Raw genomic sequence first — 20,992 nt, forward strand, 5'->3', positions numbered from 1 at the left:
AATTGAATGACCAAGAGAAGAATTCTATTTTGGGGGAGGATAGGTGTTCTATCCTCCGATATACTTTGTTCTATACATTATAAGCTCTTACAGGAAATATCAATTCACAGAAGCTGTGAAATGATATAATCTATGATCTAGAAATTACCTTTAGAACAGTGCTTCTCAAATTTTAATGAGCTTACAAGGCACCTGGGTTTCTTGTTAAAATTTAAATTCTGATTCAGTAGGCAGGGCCTGAAATTCTGCATTTCTGTCAAGCTGCCAGGGGATGCTGATGCAACTCCCTGGACTATAGTCTGTGTGCTCAGCTAGAAGAACTGAAGGAATTCAGTCCAGTGGGCATCCATTAAACTTCCCTAGCACAGATGTAGAGGGGAGACATGACAGGCTTAAAAGATAAAGCCCCTGTCTTTGAAGAGAGAAAACAACCATGTTGTAAAAAGTAGAGTCTATACCCAGTCTTATTCATCAATTTTTAATAAACACATGAAATTTTTTATGTCAGAATAAACGTTGACTTTCAAAGCAGTTATCTAGGGCGATGATACTTATTACATATGTCACATTTTAGCATATCTGTATAAATTTCATGTTTCCTTCACTCAAGAAGTTATTGTGATGTTTTAAGCATTACATAATGCACATTTGTAGGTTTTTGAAATAAAAAATTTTATTTTACTAAAATAGCCATTTATATTTACACCAAAATGTTATAACTGAACCTGAAATGTATAGCTGCTTAAATATGTTGAATAATATTCTTAAATATTCACATTTTTAGTTTCCATATTTTTTAGCCATTAGGGGAAGCAATTAATGAGTATATGTGGGCTTTGCTGGGAGCGGTTATCCCATGGTAACTATGATTATTTTTGTTTAATGAGTAACACACTGGTGTGGATAATGCAAAATTAAAGTGATTACAAAAACCCCATTACAATTAGCATTTAGAACTCATTCATCAGAACAGATTTAACTTCCTGGATGAGTTTTCTTAGACTAATATTAAAATACAAAATTTGTTTCATCATTTGATGGCAGGTAGGTAACTCCATAAGTGTTTGAAGGACAAAGAAGCCTCAGGCTGCAATTTAGTAATAATAGTGAGGTCTATTTATGTGGCATGATCGACTTTACCATCCATTTTCACATCTACCTCTTACAGGTTTAACCTTAAAAAGGCTAGAAAGCTAGTAAACATGAAGCCAGTTCAGAAATCCTCAGTTTGTAGATTCAGTGGTTGTTCAGGCACACTAACAAGGAGGTTCTACTTTGTGTTTTTGAAATGATAAGGAAAAGGAAAGGAAAATGACAATAATGTGGGTATTCTCATATGATATTTACAGCAACAAAATGCTGGCATCCCATTTGTAAAGGAAACTGAGATTACAAGCCCTCACCCAACTTGTTCAAGTGCCCACATCTCTGTGGTAGAGCTGGTATTTGAACCTAGGCAGTCTGACTCCATAACCTCTGAGTGTTTTTAATAATCCCTTTGAGTTGAAATAATAGATACAGACACTATAGGTGCAGACACTTTGGTAATAAAGTGATTCAAGAAATAATGACTATCCCACAGAGCCATCTGTTTTCTCTCAACCTCATCACTGGGCCTCTTCCATTTCTGGATAGTAAGGAATGGTCTCCAACAGTGGTTCTCCCTCCCTATTTCCACTCTTCCCACTCAGGATAGCAGGAATCTGAACATTGTATCTACTTAGCATCTTTAGTAATTTAGGCTGTGAGCATACTTCACCATCAGTTTAGTGGCTGTTTATTGATAGTTGTGCTAAGCACTGTGAGGGGACATAATTCAGAAATGTGTCCGAGCTGCAAGGAACTCAGGATAATAACAGTGGTGTGATAACAAAGTTCTTTTAGGAAGACAGAGTAGGTGGTGGTATTTTCAGTTTCCAATGTGGAGCTTTTCACTGCACATGTCATTTAGAGCTATGTTTATTTGGATCGGTGTTTAAAATTAGAAGTTGACCATCTGTATTTTTCTTGATAAGTATGGAGTCATCCTGACCAAAAAGGTTTTTGAAGGTCAGGAATAGCTTATATTTGCAGCATTATTTTTGTAAAAGAGAAAATGATATAGAAAGGTTTAAAAATAATGCCCAGTAGTTGAAGATTTAAGGGAATTTTAGTATCTATATCCAGAGACATATGTAGCTATTGAAATCAAAATTTTAAAGACTGCCCAACAACATAAAAATCACAAACATGTATGTGCTAGACTTCAAGCAAAATGAGATAAGGAAAATTGATCGTGATATTTGTAGAGTGTCTAATTTGTACCTGCATTCTGCTATGTATATTTGTTTATTTTTTTCACTGTATCTATCTAACAGCATGCAAAGTTGATATTATTTCAGTATTTCACAAATGAAGGAAGGGCACAGATATGTTAGGGGATTTCACCAAGGTCATTGACAGTGGTTGAACAGGAACTCAAACCCAGATCTCTTAAAAATCCAAAATCCCCCAAGTCAATTTATTCTAGCTATTCTACTCTCCCCTGTAGCATTGCTTTTGGTTCAGAAATAATTGATTTTACGGTAAAGAGTAGAGTCACATGAATTCAGCTGAAAAGTGCATGTCTTGTGAAAACACCAAATCTTAAAAATAATTGTGATTTCGGACTTTAACACAGAATTGAAGGACAATTAATAGTTGACACGATCTGCAAAATGAAAGTGTAATCATAGCATAAACACTTTAATTTTATCTGATATTTGAAATATGCATTTGTGTAACTGCCAAAATATTATCTGCTTTCTGTTAGCCAGAATGTTCCAGGGACAGGAGCAGAACAGCCTTATTTATAAAGAGCAAGCAAAATATATTTTCCTTTGGGAGGGACTTTTGCTGTTGTTAACTAATGTCTGAGAATTTGGGGATGAAAACCTTTGTATTAAACTGGTGCAACATAACTCATGCCATGTAAAAAACACTTTTAACCTTTTTTCCACATGTGATAGCTTTGTATTGCAATTATTACGCATTATTGAAAATTCTATGAGAATTACTTAACTACTTTTTAATAAGTAATATAAAATTTTTCTTAGAAAGGTTTCATTTTTCTCTGCCATATTTTATCTATTTGGATTTTTTACTTCACTCTATGGTAAACATTCATCATTACAGGTTAAACAGTGTTTGGCTTTTAAAAATAAAGACTTTGCCTTGTTGAACAACTCAGGTTTGGGAAGGGCTTTAGTGGTTGCATTTTAATTTTTTTCAGGATTTTTACCCAAAAACATCCGTAAAATTTCATAGTTTATTTTAATTGTTTTGTGTTAAAAGCCTGGGATATTGCTAAGAAGAGAAAACAAAGAATGAATAGATATGGATTTGTCAACTTTACCCACTTATTTTTTATTTCTTGTCATTGAATTGAAATTTTTATAAATTCTTTCCATCTGAAATTGTATCACTTGTAAAGGTTTTTTTCTCAAATAGTACCATCTGATTAGGCTTTTAGATCTTCATATGTTACCTATGCTTTCTCATTAAAGAAAAAATACTATTTCTCTAGAAGCCTGTCCTTTTTAAAGCACAAAGTACACAGCAGGTGTTTGAAAACTTTCCATCTTCCTAGTTATCTTTATCTGTTTGTATAAATTGCTAAATTGCTTTCACAAAATGCCTCTAGACATAAGGGAATTATTTGCATAAGTGGATGAAGATTTTTGTTTTCCATGAAGGAAAGCTTGAAATGGCCTCCTAATTGTTTTCCTTCTTTCTCTTGTTGCAGTATCCGGCTGCTTTGATGAACCTGGGAGCCATTCTGCACCTCAATGGCAGACTCCAGAAGGCCGAGGCCAACTACCTGCGGGCCCTGCAGCTCAAGCCAGACGATGTCATCACACAGTCCAATCTCCGCAAACTGTGGAACATCATGGAAAAACAAGGCTTAAAGACTTCTAAGACCTGACACAGGAGGCAGAAGCCCATCCTCCTCCATTTTTAAAAGCTGGCTTCCTTAGCAGACAGAACTTCCCAGCAGTGCTATGACAAGAGCTGGTGTTAGACTTCAAGACCAGGGCAGAGGTCATTGAGGTCACTACCGCTTCTGGAAGAATCCACTTTGCTGTAGGCACAGCTGTTAACACCAAAAAGGGGAAAGCCGGAAACCTCCTGGAGGATGTCATTGTTACCCATAGACTGTAAACCAGAGCACTTAAAACAGAACCTTTTGGCATTCTTAAAAAGGGAGGGGTGGGTGTGTAAGTCACAGATTTTGTTCATTTTCTGAAAGCTAATTTCAAAATTATGTTGTTCCTTAAACACTGTGAGAGGAAGTCAGAGTGTCCATTCAGGCATGGCAAACAATTAGGGTTAAGTGTTACGAGGGAGTGATAAACACGTAGTGTGAGTCCCAGTGAGCCGCCGGTTGTCCTAACGCTGCTGTCTTCCCTGTTTGGGACAGCCTGCTTATCAATTTCTGAAGCTTAGAACACTTTTTTTAATACTGTGTCAAGATCTGTCAGAATCTGCTATGTTTCTTGACCAGTGCACATAATGTTTTATGATTTGGATGTCAGAGGCTTCATTCTTTTGGACATCATTTGCTTTTTATGTTCTGAAAAGGATATGGAGAGTAGAGCTAACCATACTTCACACTCGAGTTGTATGAGGGACTGGGGAGGCCTTATATGTGTCAGGCAGGCATTTTTTAAATTTTAATATCGTCAATATTTTCCCCCAAACTGCCCAGTAGAATTCATTGTATTAATTCTTTTGAAATTACCTTTGAAAATAGCTATTCCTGGAGAATGTGCAAGCTTACATAAGGATAAAGGACAGGGGAGGAGTTTGTAAGCCTTGCAGTTCCAATAACTAACCAACAGGTTATTAGACAAAAGGGAAGGTGTTTTGTGCTTCTCAGATGTTGCTGGTTTAGGAGTGTGTGATGATGCTTGCCAGTGATTTTGTGTTTTGGAAAGGGTAGGTATCGAATGTTAATCACTTTCTAATGGGTACCTAAACAGCAATGCTGATAAATGTTCAAGGAATTATTTTCATCTTAGTTTGTTCTTCTCAAAAGGCATCAAAAACAACTTATTTGAAGCTGCAATAGAGTGTAGCATTAGCCTGCATGTTTCTAGGTCTTCTGCCAAGTGCTTTTCTCAGTTGAAAACTATTTTTCACTAGCAAAATTGGTATTTTATTTCATTACCTGTTAGTAACTACTTCAATGATCATTTCACAAGAAAAAGACTATAAATTAAGTAGAGAACAACATTTTTATTGAACATTTTTGGCTTGCAATCAAACTTTGCCACTAAAAATTAACTTCATAAAACACTAGTCCGTTATCAACTTCTTCACAGAGAAAGTAGCTATACTATACCCTACATATTTATTTATTTATTATTCTACTATAGCAGAATAACAAAACTTGATGCATTAAGCCAGTTCTTTGCAACTGAAAATTACCTGTTTCTCCTTCCCTTTCACACTCCATGTATATATGATCAGCCTCTCCATTAAAAAGAAGCTGGACATGCAAATACATCATATTATGTTTTCTCCATATTTTATGTTTTTCTATGTATCTGAATACAGTGGGATAAATAATTGAAAGTAGTGTTCCTATGGCATTAGTGTTTTTGTGAGAAGGGTAAATGTAGTGAGAAAGGTTTTTTCATGGCATTAATAAGAAAGCCCTTCTGTAATATATATATTATTTTGTAAACATTTCACTGAAGGGCCAAAAGTTAAATTATAACTAAATCACTGTGTTTTCAGAATGATATTTAACAACAAACCCGTGGTCAAACCAAAATAGTGGGTTGAAGTGTATTATTCATCTTTTAGTGCATTGGCAATTGCAAAAAAAAAAAAGGAATTTAATATAAGGCTATAGAGATTAATTCAGTGTCTAACATTTGTATTTATTTAAATAGTTATTGACCTATGATGACTTTCTAGTCTTAACATTTTATCTTTTTATTGTTGTTGTTCTTCCTTTCAAAGATGTGGTTCTTAATAGGTTCACTGAATGCACAGTTGAGGCACTTCTTGTGACACCAGTTCCCAAGTAGCGTTAATAATTGGGCCTGTGTCATAAAATGCACGGATCATTAATAACTAAATGTCCCTGACACTTTTCACTACAGGGCTGGACTTAGTAACTGACCAACTTCGGGGGGAGGGTTGGGGCAAGGGGGGGTGGGCGTTAGAACATGATCAAAAAATGTCTCCGCTCAGGGATTTATGGTGGATTATTGCAGACAGTGCTAAAAATATAGAGCACAAGACAAGTTTACTAAATTAAAATTTTATTTTTTGAGAAACTGTTATTTGTATAAATTATCAAGATTTGTAGGCTTTCCTTTTGTAGAAATAATTGTTTTATGTGCCAGAGAATTTCAATTTTGTTTTCAACAATAAAGCATTGATAAGAAATATATTGTGTAAGCCGTTTTTAAATCTTCTACAGCAACAACACTTAAACTCTGAAGTTTTAACGAAACTAAGTAAGAGATTAAAAAGAGTAGAGGTTGAGCATCGAATAGAGACACATTGTGGTTAATGTATAATTAATAATCATCATTTTTAAAAGTTATTGTAATGCAAGTAAGCATTGCCAATATCACCCGGTTTACCATACTTAGAAAAAATGACAAAGTTTGTCTTGTTTTCTTTGGTTGATGAGCTATGGGAAAAGAAGCTATGAAATAATCCAAGAAGGGCAAATTTATAAGTTTCTGGCTTCAGTAGGTTGTTTGGTAAAAATCGCCATGTTTAGAAGACACTGAATCTCTAGTTCTGGTCTTGGCTGTAAGCACGCCCCTATTCTGCTGAGAAATGTGAGTGCAGCGCATTCAGGAGTCAGTTATAAGGAAAGGTTGGGTCCTAGACATGGTGCAAAGTGACAGAGAATTCAGCAGTCTTGTTAAAATTGTTATGTCACATGATTATATATTGCCTGTTTCTTCTATTATGGGATAAAAGTTAGCTGTGAGGACTTTTATGTTAAACATCCTATGGATGTGTGAGGTTATTTTCCACTTTTACAGATAAGGAAACTAAGACTCAAAAGTATGAAACAACCTACCCAATGTCACTAAGGTAGCAAGCAGCAAGCCTGTCCCCAAGTTGTCTGATGTGTCCTGAGTCATGTGGGCACTCAGTCATTGAACAAGAGGTCTGGGTATCAGCCCTCTTGGCATTTCTCTAGCGACTTCACTTCCACAAATCACATTCTCTACCTCTCTTTCTGCAGACGATTTGAAGATCAAAGGAGGTAATTCATTAAAAAATCTTTAAAATTTAGAGTGTAACAGTCAGAAAAAAAAAAAGACTTCAATGTTCATGTCATTAAATCCATTTACTTTCCACCTGAGGAATATTAAGCCTTGCAAGTTAAGTGATTTAACAAAGATCCCAAAACTAGATAGTGGCAGCACACACCAGGCTAAAGAAATTTATTAAAAGTTATTGCTATGTGAGGAATTGTATAACTGATTTTTTTAATGAAGGCATAGTTTGAAGTTGAATTGGAGCACTGTCACTGTACTTGGAAACCAATGAAGGCAAGGACCATATTTTTGGGAGGGACTTTATTCTCCAGCTCAGCACATTGTTGAGTAGAAGACCCTAAAATATACCATACATGAAAACTCTATCTGTCATGTGCCCATGAGATATTATTTTTTTTTAAGTCACTTTCTAAAACAGTTGAGATTTGGGGATTTGCTGATTTACTATTTTCACCTGAGTGATACTAGTTTTTCACATAGTATATTTTTCCAGTAAAGAGAAAGAAAATACCTCTAAGTCTTGGCTGCTCTTTCTATTACAAGGAAAGGAATTGGGTTTCCATAAATAACTTAAGAATTAGGATAATTTCAATTTATTTGTACATACCTTTGTAATATGATTTCTCAATTTAAATATTATTTTCAGTACTATAGAATGTGCTTCCTACTATTCAAAACTCAACTTGTTTTAATAAAGGAGTATTGCTAGAAAACTTGGCTTATGCATTGGAACTATTACACACTGTAAAGCTAGAGCAAGCTGAATGGTAATGCAATTGTGCTATTGTGCTTAGTATTGCAGTAGAAAAAGATGCATGTGTACTAAGACTTTAACTTGCTGTGTCATTTTGGGTGGTCTTCCTGCAGGATGCAATCAGAGAGGCCTTGAGAGTCAGCTTTCATTCCATCTGCCGCTTCACCACATATTGGCCTTTTGTTGTTGTTGTTCTATAGAGATTTGAGATGTATTTTTTCTCCCTGGAGGATTGCTGGGTTTAAGTTTCTTGTTAACTTGAAATTCCTGTGAAGTTTTTCTTCCATGTTTCCCAAAACCTTCCCCCAACTTCTTACAGCTGCTCTCTGATGTTATTGTGCTATTTAATTGTCTGCTTCCAAAGAGTGGAGAGATATACTAACTACTTTTTTAGCTAGCAGATTCTCAGATCAAATAAGAAAGTTATAAACATATGAGACAATGTGATGAGATCATTTAAAAATACCTATAGGAATCTAAGTTAGTATGGTATCTAAAATGGTGTTTGGGAAAAGTATCTGGAGGTTCCCAAAAGGAGAGAGGAAAGATGGAGAGATAGGGATAGATACATGGAAAATTGATGTTAATTGTCCTTAATAATTATTAAGCTTTTGTTGGAGAGGTAAAGGATTTGATTAGAACAGTTTGAGACTGTCTGTATTCTTTTTGGTTGCCCAGTAATCTACCAAGATAGGGTCGCTGTATTGGAAAAGAAAGTGTAACAAGTGAGTGAATACAACCACAGGAGAGGCTGGAAAAATGTGCAACCAATTTGAAGTCTAGACTAGAACTAGCTATCTGTTCTGATAGGAAATAGATTTAATTTTTCTCCTACCTTTTTTGGATTTGACAGGTTTATCACTTATTCAAGGCGAAGCTATCAACCATTCTCTAGTCAGATGGAGTGAATAGAGTTCTGTATTTCGAGTAATAGCTCAGGACTTGTAGAAACACTTTTTCTAATAATTTTCTATCATGTCTCTTTCCTTTCCATCCTAGTAGACTCAAAATAAAATAACTCCTGAGTCTTTTCTCTTGGCAATATCATTGAACAACTAGAGACTATAATACAAGTTTTCAAAAATGTATTGAGGGAGAAATCAAGCAATTTAATTTGTTTTCAAAAATACTTAAAATACCCTAAAGGAATTAAAGTGTCTTTTTTGCAGCTGGATATTTCTCTCATATAATATAAGAGACAATTTAATACCAGAAAATCAGAATTGATGAGGGATGAGGGGGCAAGTGTATGTGTGTAGGGTGTGAGAATAGTGCTTACCTTTGATTTTAATGTGAGCCCTTTTTATAATTTCATTTAGCATGTAATGGCTAAATCACAATTAGCTTTTTCATTCTGAAGACAACTTGTTAAGTAGTTAGAGCCAATTAGTAATCTCAATAGATTTTTTTCATTCTTTTTTGTGCTATTTTAAATATGTTGTTATGCTTAATGTCTGTGGACATTTTATGCTTCCTTTACAATGATGACTTACTATTCTATAAATGTGCCTTTGCCATATAGTATAATAATGATAATTTGGGAAATTTCACTGGAATTATGTTTCAGGGTATATTTTTTAAAAACTGTCCTAGGCCAATAAATATTTTGATGTTACTACATACTATTCTATTAAAATTTTATGATTTTGCATTATATGATATGGAACAGTATAACAATATTTTGTTTTATTTGAACCCCTTGATGATATTTATCATCATTACCCATTACCCTGTTGATGATATTTATAAAATGTAGCAAAGCATACATTTTCCTATAAAATTAGTTAAGGAACTTTCTTGGTTAATTTGTTCTCATTTCTGTTTATAGAAGCAATTATTGTTTGAAGTCCTATTTCAAATTTTTGCTTTTTGAGTGATGATGAGGATGAGTTAATCTGTTGCTATTTCTCAAGTAAGTAAAAAGTAATAACTCTTAGAAATCAATCACAATATCCGAGAGCAAGAGAAAACACAGATTTGGTCTAGGCACCATACAAATAAAGAAGGTGTGGCTTAGGGCAGTTAATTGATAGGGCTAAACTTACTCATTCACAGTACAGCAAATGTAACACATAAAATGTTGAGGTAATAGCTGCAGGTTGTATCCTGCAAAGCCCAGTGCTAACCAGAACTTGTGAAATCATCTCTTCTTCAGAGTAGAGGGAAGACACACAGCTCCAACTAAGTTCATTTTGGGTCCCTGGTTTTAGTCAGAAAATCTTAATTTTAGGACAAATTTATGAATCATACCTAACCAAACAAAGCTGGTCTAAGTAAAAGTGGCGCATAGAAGCAATAAGATATATTAAACCATTTCCAAAGATCCAAAACACTGCTTGGGTATATCTTCTGACCTGTCTGTGATGCATCAGTGGTCTAAGTTTCATTTGCCTATTGCAGACTGGTGCAATGTGCAAGATCCCACCAGACGTAACAAGTCGGATGCGATCCTTCATGATGAAAGGACCTTTTATCCCGTAACATGGCATCTTCATTCAACTTGCTCCTTGGAATTTCAGCGCAGTGGGGCCCTTCCCATAGATAGAAATCTGAATGAATAGGGTTTTAATTATTTCATTCCTTCGCTCTCAAGAAAATGTTTTTCTGTTGTAATTATATAAATAATTATATAAATAAATAACATTTTTTTCTTTTTTTAGGCTACGTTTTTGTAAAATTAAAGGTTTTTGGAGCATACTAGCTGGATGAAAGCTCTTTATAGGCCAGAGAATAATTGTAAAATATGAACAGCATGTCACTTTTCCATTGCAGTGTAACAGTAAATACATTTGCTACAAGTATTTATGATTATTAGCTAATCTATTTGATTCCCTTTCATCAACTTTGTCCACTTTCTCTGTTATATGTAAGTGTGCACACACATACAAACACGTAAAAAAACCTACTGCATGCCTGGGAAGTCCATAGCTAAACCAATCTTAAGTATCTGTACATTTGATCCTCCAGGAGAGCAAGTCATTATGAGGAATGAGACATAATTTGAAATGTCTTGATTAAAAGAAGAAATAAAGTGTGATCAATCCTTTGTCCTTGGGTGAATGATTTAGATCCAGACAAGCAAGGGTCAGAAGGAGATGAGGGCAGACATTTCTTAAGATACTGTTAAAAATATCTTGGCACATTTCTTTTTACATTGTCCTACGCTGTCACAATCAAGCTGCTGCTGTGATTCACCAAATGGACTATATAGGGTACTTTTCTGTCCTTATTCTAGGAAAGAAATACCACTTGGAGAAAGAGGAGACAAGACAAATGTAGATTTGTACTTCTTCATTTTCCAGATAAGAAAAATTACCAAGTTGACCTTTAAATATCTTGGTTTTAAATGTATTTTGTCTTGGGGACATTAGCCAATGATCAAACAATACAGATTATTGAATATAGGAAGCAACACACTTGGTAATTCTGAATACTGATGAATACCCCACTGGAAGACCCCAATTATATTGAGAAGTGACAACGTGCTAGCAGCCTTCACTCGCTCTCACCACCTCCTCGGCCTCGGTGTCCACTCTGGCCACACATGAGGAGCCCTTCAGTGCGCCTCTGCACTGTGGGAGCCCCTCTCTGGGCTGGACAAGGCCAGAGCTGGCTCCCTCTGCTTGGGGGCAGGTGTGGAGGGAGAAGCGCGGGCAGGAACCAGGGCTGCAGGCGGTGCTCTCAGGCCAGCCTGAGTTCCGGGTGGGCGTGGGCTTGGCAGGCCCTGCACTAGGAGCAGCCGGCTGGCACCGCCGGCCCCAGGCAATGAGGAGCTTAGCACCCGGGCCAGCAGCTGCGGGGGGAGTGCAGAGTCACCCAGCATTGCCAGCCCGCCCACACCACACTCGAATTCTTGCCGGGCCTCAGCCACCCCCCACCATGGGCTCCCCACGGCCTGAGCCTCCAGGACGGTTGCCGCCCCTGCTCCACCACACCCCGTCCCATGGACAGCCCAAGGGCTGAGGAGTGCCGGCCAGTGGCTTGCAACTGGGCAGCTCTGCCCCTGGCCCTGGCGAGGGATCCACTAGGCGAAGCCAGCTGGGCTCCTCAATCAGGTAGAGACTTGCAGAACTTCTATTATCTAGCTGGAAGATTGTATATGCACCAATCAGCACTCCGTCTAGCTCAGGGTTTGTAAATGCACCAATCAGCAACCTGTGTCTAGCTCAAGGTTTCTAAACGCACCAATCAGTGCTCTGTGTCTAGCTAATCTAGTGGGGACTTAGAGAACTTTTGTGTCTAGCTAAAGGATTGTAAACGCACCAATCAGTTCTCTGTAAAATGGACCAATCAGCTCTCTGTAAAATGGACCAGTCTGCTCTCTGCAAAATGGGCCAATCAGCAGGATGTGTGTGGGGCGGGGGATGGGGTTGGGAGTGGGGGGGTCAGATAAGGGCATAAAAGCAGGCTGCCCAAGCCAGCAGCTACAACCAGGTGTGGGTCCCTTTCTGCACTGTGGGAGATTCGTTCATTCCCTCTTTGCAATAAATCTTGCTGCTGCTCACTCTTTGGGTTGGCGCTGCTCACTCTTTGGGTTGGCACTGCCCTTAAGAGCTGTAACACTCACGCGAAAGTCTGCATCTTCACTTCGGAAGCCAGCGATGCCAGGAACCCAGCAGGAAAGAAGGAAGAAACTCCGAAGGCGTCGAAACACCAGAAGGAATGGACAACTCCAGACCCACCGCCTTTAAAAACTGTAACACTTACCGTGAGGGTCCAGGTCCACGGCTTCATTCTTGGTCAGCGAGACCAAGAACCCACCAATTCTGGACACAATATCAGCTTTCTTTTTTGGTTTTAGCTCTTCAGGTGACCTTTTATCCCCTAACATGGCATGTTATTCAACTTGCTCCTTGGAATTTCAGCGCAGTGCGGCCTTTCCCATAGATATAAATCTGAATGAATAGGGTTTCAATGATTTCATTCCTTCACTCTCAAGAAGATGTTTTTCTGTTATATCTTTTACATGCAAAGTGTTTTACAGTTCTCAAAGGATTTCGTGTCTTTTCTATTTATCTCTTTAAAACAATCTGGCAAAATAGACAGGAGAAACATCATAATTCTCAAATCAAGCTGCAGATGATGATTCAGAAGCTCAGAATGACTGTATGACTTGCCCAAGATTTACATTCAGTATGAAAACACGTCTTTTGTCTCCCAATCTTACAGCTTTGATCTAAACCTAGAGCAAGTATTGAGGGGTATGAGCACGATCAATACATTAGGGGATTTCTGCCTCCTTTCTTACTCCCTTAGCCTTTGAAGTTCAGATGTGATGCAAAAGTGTTTCTATGTAAAAAACTTTTATTCATAACTGGAGACTGTTTCCAACTACATCCCTATATGGTGAGAGGGTTGAGGAAGGAGGAGAGTATCACTTTAATGTAAGGACACATGTGCTCACAAAAATAATTTCACTTTCGTCCGATCACCTACTTTTGTTTACCAGTCTTAGGGGTTTAAATTTCTTCTATTTAAAATGTACCTATTGAGCTTTCTCTTGCAATCTAGGTATCAAAGGTGCTTGGCCTGATTTGGGCCATTCCATGTTTCTATAGGATGTCTGGTACTATTTTCCAGTTTTGGTGAATATCGGGCTCTTGCATTCTGAAACTCTTGAGTCTCTTCTTCTAATGAGCTCTTCTGGCTTTTTCTTCTTTGTATTCTTCCATTCACCAATTGAATAACAGACTTTTTTCTGATTTCCCTGAAATCATTGGCACAGGCCGACATTAAGGGTTTGTAGTGGCAGAGTGGTTTTAATCAAATAACTTAAATTGAATATTGAACAAACTGGTTCTTGATATTTCTCTAGCTGCCAACGATAACTTCCCATTGGTTGCCCATTGCCATGGGTTTTATGCCCCTAGAAGACAGGGTTCTCTCCCATGCTCACTTCAATCTCAGAACTGCTATTACCTTCTTACGGAAAAGTTCCAGACCCGTCCTACTATACAGAAAGCGATTTTCCAAGTGTTTTCCTGAAGCAAAGTTTAAAAACCTGCAGCCGGCTGGGCGCGATGGCTCACGCCTGTAATCCCAGCACTTTGGGAGGCTGAGGTGGGAGATCACGAGGTCAGGAGACCGAGACCATCCTGGCTAACACGGTGAAACCCCGTCTCTACGAAACATACCCGGGCGTGGTGGTGGATGCTTGTAGTCCCAGCTACTCGGGAGGCTGAGGCAGGAGAATGGCGTGAACCTGAGAGGTGGAGCTTGCAGTGAGCCTAGATCGCGCCACTGCACTCCAGCCTGGACGACAGAGCGAGACTCCGTCTCAAAAAACAAACAAAAACAAACAAACAAAAAACCCTGCAGCCTAGAGACTGGATGTAGCCTCTGCACGTTTTGAAAAATGTAAGCATACATTTAGGAATTTGGAGGGGTTTTTTTTTTTTTTGTTTTTGTTTTTTTGGTTTGGTTTGGTTTGTTTTTTTAATCTGGGTTTCTGGCTTTTCTTAACATACAAAATATCTGGCAACGTGGCGGCGTGGGTGGGGGGGCACGTCTCAGCATGGCAACAGTGAGAGTTAGCGGACTAGCTGCTATTCCATTTAGATGGGACTTAAATCTCACATGTGTCACTGTCTCCAGTACCCCTGCTTCTACCTGGCCTCCAGAGGCACTTGAGTATGACTCCTCTTATCAAAGACAATTCCTCCCTTAATAGGTGACTTTGACGTCTGCTGTTAACATGTCTGCTTTTTCTGTACTACATGGTCTTGTAAAGATGCATTGGAAATGTTCAAAAATGATTGTTACCTAGACTTTTTTAAATATTTGACCATTTCTTTAGGATTAAAAATTCCATCATACCAATGTTTTAATTTTTATTTTAATAACCATAAAGTCTGCAGATGAATTGGAGAAATAAGAGGTAATATTGTGAAACATTTCTTTCTTTTTCTCTCAAAAAACAAATTCAGATATAGCCTGGCTCATAAAACTTAATTACTCATTGGTGTTTGGCTAATGGATTTTTGCAATTCATCAGGCTAGAAAAAAGACCTCCTTCTTATGCACTGTATTTCTCAAAATAGAGTTATTTTTCATATCCCTTATCTTGCAACCTTATACTATTCAGCTGCATTTATACAAATAGCTTTAAATGCCTTCTACTGCAGAATTTAATTCTGATTGATGGAAACCCAGACATAAACCTACAAAGAGTGTGCTGCTGTGGTAACAAGAAAAAGAGACAGATGTTTAAGAACGTACATATTCTGTTGAACTTTTTAACTTTACTGAAATAATGGATGAACACCAATAAAATAGCCCCTGTGCAAGAATTTTGCTCTTGAATTTGGTGCATTTGGTAGGTCGGGGGGAGAGGCCAATTAATCAGAAACAGTAACCTTTGAATTCATAAATACCTGATATATGTAAATTGTGAGGTGAATAAAATTGGTTTACTTAATCACCTTCTGTTCAGAAGTCTACGCCAAACCCTATTCAAAGCTCCATCAGTTTAGGAATTTCTTATCTGAAGGGTCTGTTTGCCCTCTCTCTCCCGAAAATTGTCTTCAATGGAGTGAACTTGATTAATGGGCTGTTTCATTTTTCAGGACAAAGCTAACATTTGCCTTTTCCCAGAAACACTAGCAAATTACTTGATTAATATCAAAAAGCTCTCATTCACACATAACCTTTGAATAAACAAGTTGTGATACTGTTGGCAACATGCTAAGAGGTATTCCTGTAAGTAGGCTATAAAGGAAATTGCCTTTGTAATTAAATGTATAAAGAGGGAACCTGTTTTTGCTTGCTCAAATCTATTTTTTTTCTCTTGTAAGTGAAGAATGTATAATGAGGTTGGACCAAAGCAGAATGCAAAAATTCTTTGTCTATGCTAAGGTTTTATTTGCATTTCCCTCACCTCTGGAAGCCCAGGAAGAAAACTGTGAAACATTTATGAAACTTGAAACTTGAATGGAGTTTCTAATTCTTAATTTTAAGGCTTTCCAACTTTTTCTTTTCTTTTCCTTTTTTTTTTTTTTTTTTTTTTTTTTTTGAGACAGAGTCTCGCTCTGTCACCCAGGCTGAAATGAAGTGGTGCGATCTTGGTTCACTGCAACCTTGGCCTCCTGGGTTCAAGCGATTCTCATGCCTCTGCCTCCTGAATAGCTGGGATTACAAATATGTGCCACTATGCCTAATTTTTGTATTTTTAATAGAGATGGAGTTTCGCCATGTTGGCCAGGCTGGTCTCAAACTCCTGGCCTCAAGTGATCTACCCGTCTCGGCCTCCCAAAGTGCTTGGATTATAGGCATGGGCCACCATGCCTGGTCTCTAGCTTTCTCTTAAAGTTCGACAATAAGAGGTAGTCAATCCCATGTTGATTGAAAAATACCTACACCTCCAAAAGACTTTCCTAATAATTAATTACCTGAAAACCAGAGCTGGAATATAAGATGTACTAATGCGACAAAAAAGAAAGGCCTTTGAATCAGAAAAGATTCTATACTAAAATGCAGGAAGGAGAAATGAACTAAAATATTATGCTCTGATCATATACCAAATACTATATAAAGGTCTTATTTCATGTAGAAAATTAAACTACCCTTTACTGCAAATTAATTGCCTATCTATGATTCATTTCTCCCCTGCAGATAACTGCTGAATCCCCACATATAATAGCACTTTGCCCAGATCCAGTCAATGGGCTGTCATTAGTCCAAGCCAGAGGCTGGCAAACTACGGGCTTGTAGGCTAAATCAGGCCCACCATTTATGAGCTAAGATTGGTTTGTACATTGCTGAATGGTTGAAGAAAATCAAAAGAGGAATATTTCATAATACGTGAAAGTTATATTAAATTTCATTGTCCATAAAATGTATAAGAACACAGCCACACTCAATCATTAATGTATTGACTATGGCTGTTTTTGTGCTACAATGGCAGGATTGGGTGATTACAACAGAGACTGGCCATATGGCCTGCAAAGCTTACAATATTTAATATCTAGCCTGTTACCAAAAAAAGTTTGTCGACCCCTGGTCTAAGCCAATTGTGATACTCTTGTATCTTGCTTTTCCAGGCTCCAATCCAGCTGGCAGTGCCCATGTGACAATGAAACACAAGCAGAGGTCTGCCAGAAGGAATTCTGGAAAAGCTTGGCTTTCTTCATATAAGGCTGGCATCTTAACTCCCCTTCCGGCCTTGAATTTGAAAGTAAAATCTGGATGTCAGAACAGCCATCTTGCAACCATGGGGTGATGAATATAAGAGTAAAAGCCAGCACCAGGAGGGGTAAGTAACTTAGTCCCTGATAGGATTGTTGAGCAGCTGAACCAAGGCCAATACCTGCTTACTGCCAGACTTCCTCTCATGTGAGAAAAATTAACCCCTCTCTGTAAGACATTCTTCAGTGGGCATGCATTGAGTCACTTACAGGCTAATGTCTTCCTTACTGACCTTACCTCCTCTTTCTTTCCTTTAGGCACAACCTATTTGGTCTTAATTTTTATAGAGAGAGTTGTGGGGGCCAGAGGACCCATCCTGATATTCTTTCACTACACAGTGATCAGGTAGCTATCTAATATCTCCACAGTCAAAGCCACACTTGAGTTTGCTTATCAGTAAAAAAAAACCTAGTATCCCCAGCAGCATTATTTTGATGTTTGGGGGAATGGCTATGAGACCAGTCTATTTCTCTTTGTTACTATAAATAGCTCATGGCAGAAAGACATCTACATTGTTCCTCCCACATCCTCTCCACTCAAGTTAGATGTCCCATCCTCTGTTCTCCCATAATGTTTAGGTCATGATGCTATCACACTCATTACACTATATTTTAGGTATTATGTTAGATTATGCACTCAACTGTGGATGCCTTACAGACATCAACCATGTCTTACTCACCTCTGTCACTAGCATCTAACACAGTGCCACAGATATTATAGATGGTGAAGGAAAGAAGGCAGCACAGTTGTCATGTAAAAGAATACAACGTGGAACACAACAAATATATTTGTTAATTTATCCAACATTTATTGAGTGCTTAGTATATGCCTTTTTCTAGGTGATGATGGGGATAAAGTGATGAATAAAACCCGTATCATAATAAAAGCAAGCATTTATTGAATACTTCATAAGTTCTAAGATAGAATTCTAAGCACTTTATATATATCGCCTTAATTAATCTTCGCAGTACTCTGTCATTCCCATTTCAGAGATGAAAAACCTGATGCACAGAGAAGTTAAGTAACTTGCCCAAGATTACACAGCTAAAAGTGATAACGTTGGATCTCTATCCATATTCAAATGTGTAATTCCAGGATATTTACCATCATACTTTCAAGCTGCTTCTCTGATGCATTAGGTGCAGGGAATACAATATGAAGAAAACAATTGCCCTCCATTATGGGATTCCAAAGCAGAATAAGTAAGACACAGTTTGCATATTGGAGGAGAGCACAAGTCTAGGGTCAGTCCACTGGGCTTCAGTTTCTGGCTGCAGCAGATACTGTGTACTTCTCAGTATGTTACATAACCCTTCTGTGTCTCAGTTTCCTTATAAATGAATTGGAATTATAATATCTAACTCAGAGTGGTTATAAGGATTGCATGCATTAAATATGTAAAGTACTTAAAACAATGCCTAGAATATTTTAAGTTTAAACCAAGGGTTGAGTATTATTATTACTATTGTTGTGGATGGTTTTATAATTATTATAGTACATAATAATAACAATAGCTATTACCGTTATCCTTATATGTACGGGACAAGTAGTCAGATCATAAATGGTTTAACAAAAATTATATAATGACAAACAGTGATTGAATGTTAAACAGGTGTATTAGTCAGGGTTCTCCAGAGAAACAACCAATAGGATTTGTGTGTAGGTGTTTTTGTATGCGTTTGTGTGTGTGTATGTATGTATTTTTAGTGTGTGTGTATGTGTGTGTGTATTTGTTATAAGGAATTGGCAATTATAGAGGCTGAGAAATCTCAAGAGGTCTGCAGTTGGCAAACTGGAGACCCAAGAGAGCCAATGGTATAGTTCCAGTCTGACACAGTAGCTCCCTTGTTTGTCTGTTGATTCAGAGGCATGAGAAGACTAAAGTGGCCGGATGGCCATCTTAGCTTCCAGTAATGGAATCATTGTTGTGTCTCTTGATGGAAGCATTCCTCCCTTTGTACCTAGGCCAGCAGAGCATAAGGCCACGGGAACAGGAAGCAAAAATTTTGCTAGTGGGTTATTAGGAGTAATAATGAATGCTACAACTCTGATTTCCAACCCTGGATTTCTGGACCTGTAAATCTTGGCTATAGATAAACATCACCATATATTGTATTGGATTCTGATTCTGCACATATATAGCCTTCAGGAGAACCTTGCCCCAGCCCTGCAAGGTATTGCCGCCAAGCTGTCACTGTAACTGAGTCTTCAAAAGTCTATTCCACCATTCTATCAAGCTAGCTGCTTCATGTTGGTGGGAGACATGGTAAGACCAGTGAATTCTATGAGCATAGACCCATTGCCACACTTATTTCGCTATGAAGTGAGTTCCTTGATCCGAGCCATGCTGTGTGGAATACCGTGACAGCAGACGAGGCATTCTGTAAGTCTATGGGTAGTAGTTTCAGCAGTTTTCTCTATGAATTCAAGATGGTCTTTGATACTGAGTCATCAACTGCTTAGCCATGTCTATTGTGCGCATGTTAAAGTTATTGCTTATATAAAAAAGACTTTTACTTTATGACTACACTCTTGATCCTCTGACTTCGTGGATTTTAAAAAGTTTTATATTGTGTTGTGTTAACGTTTGCTGCCATGAAGAAGCAACGTGATGATGAAAACACAGGGATAAAACTATCACCACCACGGGGGAATATGTGTGATTAAACAGGGAGAGCAGTCTTATCTTGAGCAGCTTTTCAATGGACAGAAAGCAGGAGTTTGAGACCTGGAACCAGGAGAGAAATGGGCCTTGAAGGGGGAAGAGGCGAAGACTCCAGTGGTGTGTGCCTCAGACTAGGCCTGGGCAAACTGGGAGGACTCAAGCTCAGAGAAACAACCTTACTAGGCCATTAAGTATAAGCACTGGAGGTGAAATCAAAAGTGAGGTAAAAGGGCCCTGAATCAGAACCTGGATCCAGCCATGCAGTGATTAAAAATGCCAGGGCAAATGAAGGTAGTGCAAGCAACTGCTGTAAAAGTACCCAGAGCGCCCTGGGTTCCTCCTGTGGGCCACAGCCTTTACCTTTCCGAAAACTCAGTGGCCTATGTTGCTTTTAAAGTAAACACCGCATATTCTCACTCATAGGTGGAAATTGAACAATGAGAACACATGGACACAGGAAGGGGAACATCACACTCTGGGGACTGTTGGGGGGTGGGGGGAGGGGGGAGGGATAGCATTGGGAGATATACCTAATGCTAGATGACGAGTTAGTGGGTGCAGCGCACCAGCATGGCACATGTATACGTATGTAACTAACCTGCACGTTGTGCACATGTACCCTAAAACTTAAAGTATTATAATAATAATAATAAAAACAAAACAAAAAAACAAACAAAAAAACAAAACAAAAAAAACAAAAAAATAAAGTAAAGAGTAAAATGTAGGGTGTAGAGGATAAGTAGCATCATCTGATATTCAAAACACCAGTTTTTATAACCCTAAATTTTTTCAGGTTGATTGTGCTTTCTTCATTTCTCTATAGAACTATTCATTTGTTAATTCCTTGCTCATTTCTTAAGGAATGGAGGAGATTTAAAATGCCCTATGTAATAAAAATAAGTTATGCAATGGGAATAGAAGTGGAGAATTATAAAAAAGAAAATATGAATATAAACGGGATATTGAGACAAAGTATATAGAAGACAGGGGACAAAGTTTTTGTTTAATTCTTCCATGTTAAGTGAAAAGCCTCAATTAAAATATAACAGCAGCCCATCTTACAGTATATTACTGTGTAATAAAGTCAAAATGAAGACCGAACTGGGTTTGCAT

At 37.9% G+C, this 20,992-nt stretch overlaps 1 protein-coding gene across 4 annotated transcripts in view; it reads left to right on the forward strand.

Annotated features, from left to right (window-relative positions):
* Nucleotides 1-6,420, forward strand: part of TMTC2 (transmembrane O-mannosyltransferase targeting cadherins 2) — a 447,961-nt gene extending 441,541 nt beyond the window's left edge. For all 4 annotated transcript variants that reach the window (XM_017018884.3, NM_152588.3, NM_001320321.2 and 1 more), the window contains one exon: nt 3,764-6,420. In XM_017018884.3, the coding sequence (XP_016874373.1) occupies nt 3,764-3,943 (180 nt within the window). In that variant the 3' untranslated portion in view covers nt 3,944-6,420. The remainder of the gene's footprint in view (nt 1-3,763) is intronic.
* Nucleotides 6,421-20,992: the final 14,572 nt, after the last annotated feature.

Source organism: Homo sapiens, chromosome 12 (assembly GCF_000001405.40).
Source record: "Homo sapiens chromosome 12, GRCh38.p14 Primary Assembly".
Lineage (NCBI taxonomy): Eukaryota > Metazoa > Chordata > Mammalia > Primates > Hominidae > Homo > Homo sapiens.